This window comes from Homo sapiens, chromosome 1, assembly GCF_000001405.40.
Source record: "Homo sapiens chromosome 1, GRCh38.p14 Primary Assembly".
In the NCBI taxonomy this organism is placed as follows: Eukaryota; Metazoa; Chordata; class Mammalia; order Primates; family Hominidae; genus Homo; species Homo sapiens.
This window is the reverse complement of record NC_000001.11, coordinates 166,382,327-166,384,193: the sequence shown is the minus strand read 5'-3', so window position 1 is coordinate 166,384,193 and position 1,867 is coordinate 166,382,327. Positions and strand designations below refer to the sequence as shown.

Below are 1,867 nucleotides of genomic sequence, written 5' to 3'. Positions count from 1 at the left end.
AACAGACTGGTGTTAAAAGACTGAAAGTTTCTCTAGCTGCAGATGAACACTATGGTTTTGATTTGATACAGTTTATCTGTTTTGCACAATCGGCTTTGAAAAACTGTGGTTTCTATTTTCAATTCTCAGTACCCTCCCTTTAGTCTAGCCGCCAGTGTCTTTTCTCTTTATCAATTGTTGTTAAGATTACTTCAGTTTTACCAGTGGAGATACTAAGCAAGACTCACCAAAGTCTTCCTCATCAGAAGCTGCTGCAGAGGCCCAGCCAAACCCAGGTCTCCAGTGGGGAACACAAATAGACTCCCTTGACCTAGACACGATGTTCAGGCTATGAGCTCTGTCTTGCCTCATACCTATTTGCCTGCCTTTCCTTCTTACCTCCCTAACTGTATGAACGGCGACCACAACTTAACAAAGCTCCAGCCTAGTAAACGAGAACATGGTCTTTGGGAGTGAACTGCCCAGCTTCAGAGCCCGGATCTGTCTTGTACTGGATTACCAACCTCTCTATACTCTGGCATTTCCTCAGCTTTAAAACAGCAATAATATTAGTCTCTCCCTCAGGGGGTTATTGTGAAGATTAAAAGAGATAATATACCTAATGTGCTTAGAGGGGTGCCTGCCATATAGAAAGTGCCCAATTAAAGGGTTATTATGATTATTCTCTCCTGTCTCTGTAGCACCCAGTACGGTGCCCTGCAAACTGACAGCTGTGGTGTACAGCAGCACTTCTCAAATTTTAATTTGCATACAAATCATCCAGAGATCTTGTTAAAATTCTGAATCTAATTCTGTGGTTCCGAGAATCTGCCTTTCTAAGGAGCTCTTGGGTGATGCCTGCTGGGACCACACTTTGAACAACAAGTAGTTCTCTGCTTGTGGTCTGGAGACCAGCAGCTTCAGTGTTACCTGGAAACTTGTTGAAATGCAAATCCCCCCTTCCCATCAAACATGCTGGAATACAGCCAGCAATCTATGCTTTAATAAACCCACTGGGGTGTAGGAAAGAATAATTGACTGGATTCAAAAGTCTTGGATGGCATTCTGGATTTGCCAGTTAATAGTTGTGTGGCCTTGGGCAAGTCACTTAATCTCTGTTAGCCTAGCACTGAAGTCCCTAAATAGTTTATTCTTTTAAACCCAGAATGTGGCCACAAAAGACCCTAAGCTAAAATAGGGCCATGTTTCACCTCCTTGGAATCCCAAATTCACTGCTTCTCTATTGCTTCTGTAAAACTGGACACATTTTATTTACCCTGCTCAGAAGGCTGTTGTAAGGTTCTAATGAGACAATGCAAAAGCATGTGAAACTATAGGATAATACATAATTATTAAGTACTTGAAATATATTTGATAAATGGTTAAATGAAGAATGAAATATCACATATATAACTAAAACACCTTTGGAAAGCCCAGATCATTTCTTTATTAAAAGTCATTTTTTTAGGAGAGATGCATCCTGGGTTTCTTAGGAGCTGCAGACTTCTGTCAGAAGTGGATGTCTGATCATGAATGCTTAATGAAGAGCTAGGATATTTTATTTTAGCACTATTAATAGACCAATGAAGAAAACAACCAGGCAGGTAAAATAGCTCATTTATTCCAAGGTCTAAATACCTTTTATATGAGTATGTTCACATTTTTAAAACTCCGTTAGATGGTTGGGAATTTGCTGAGACACCCAAGTTTGACAGAGGCAGCCATTCCTACCTTAATATCTGGCCTGTCCACCTACACTGGATATTTATGTGTGAGGCTTTTTATCTGACTCTATCAAAACACTCTCCAGCTGGTACTGTCTATAATTAGGCAAACCTACTTATGAATATGACTCAGTTACTTCTACCCCAATCAAGAAGTATTAATT

At 40.1% G+C, this 1,867-nt stretch overlaps 1 annotated feature.

The window, feature by feature from the left end:
• Positions 311 to 1,131: an enhancer, noted in NCBI's record as "OCT4-NANOG hESC enhancer chr1:166352300-166353120 (GRCh37/hg19 assembly coordinates)". NCBI's record gives its function as "activates a minimal SCP1, AML or CMV promoter by ChIP-STARR-seq in primed H9 embryonic stem cells {active_cell/tissue: H9 hESC(primed)}" and the evidence as "EXISTENCE:reporter gene assay evidence [ECO:0000049][PMID:30033119]".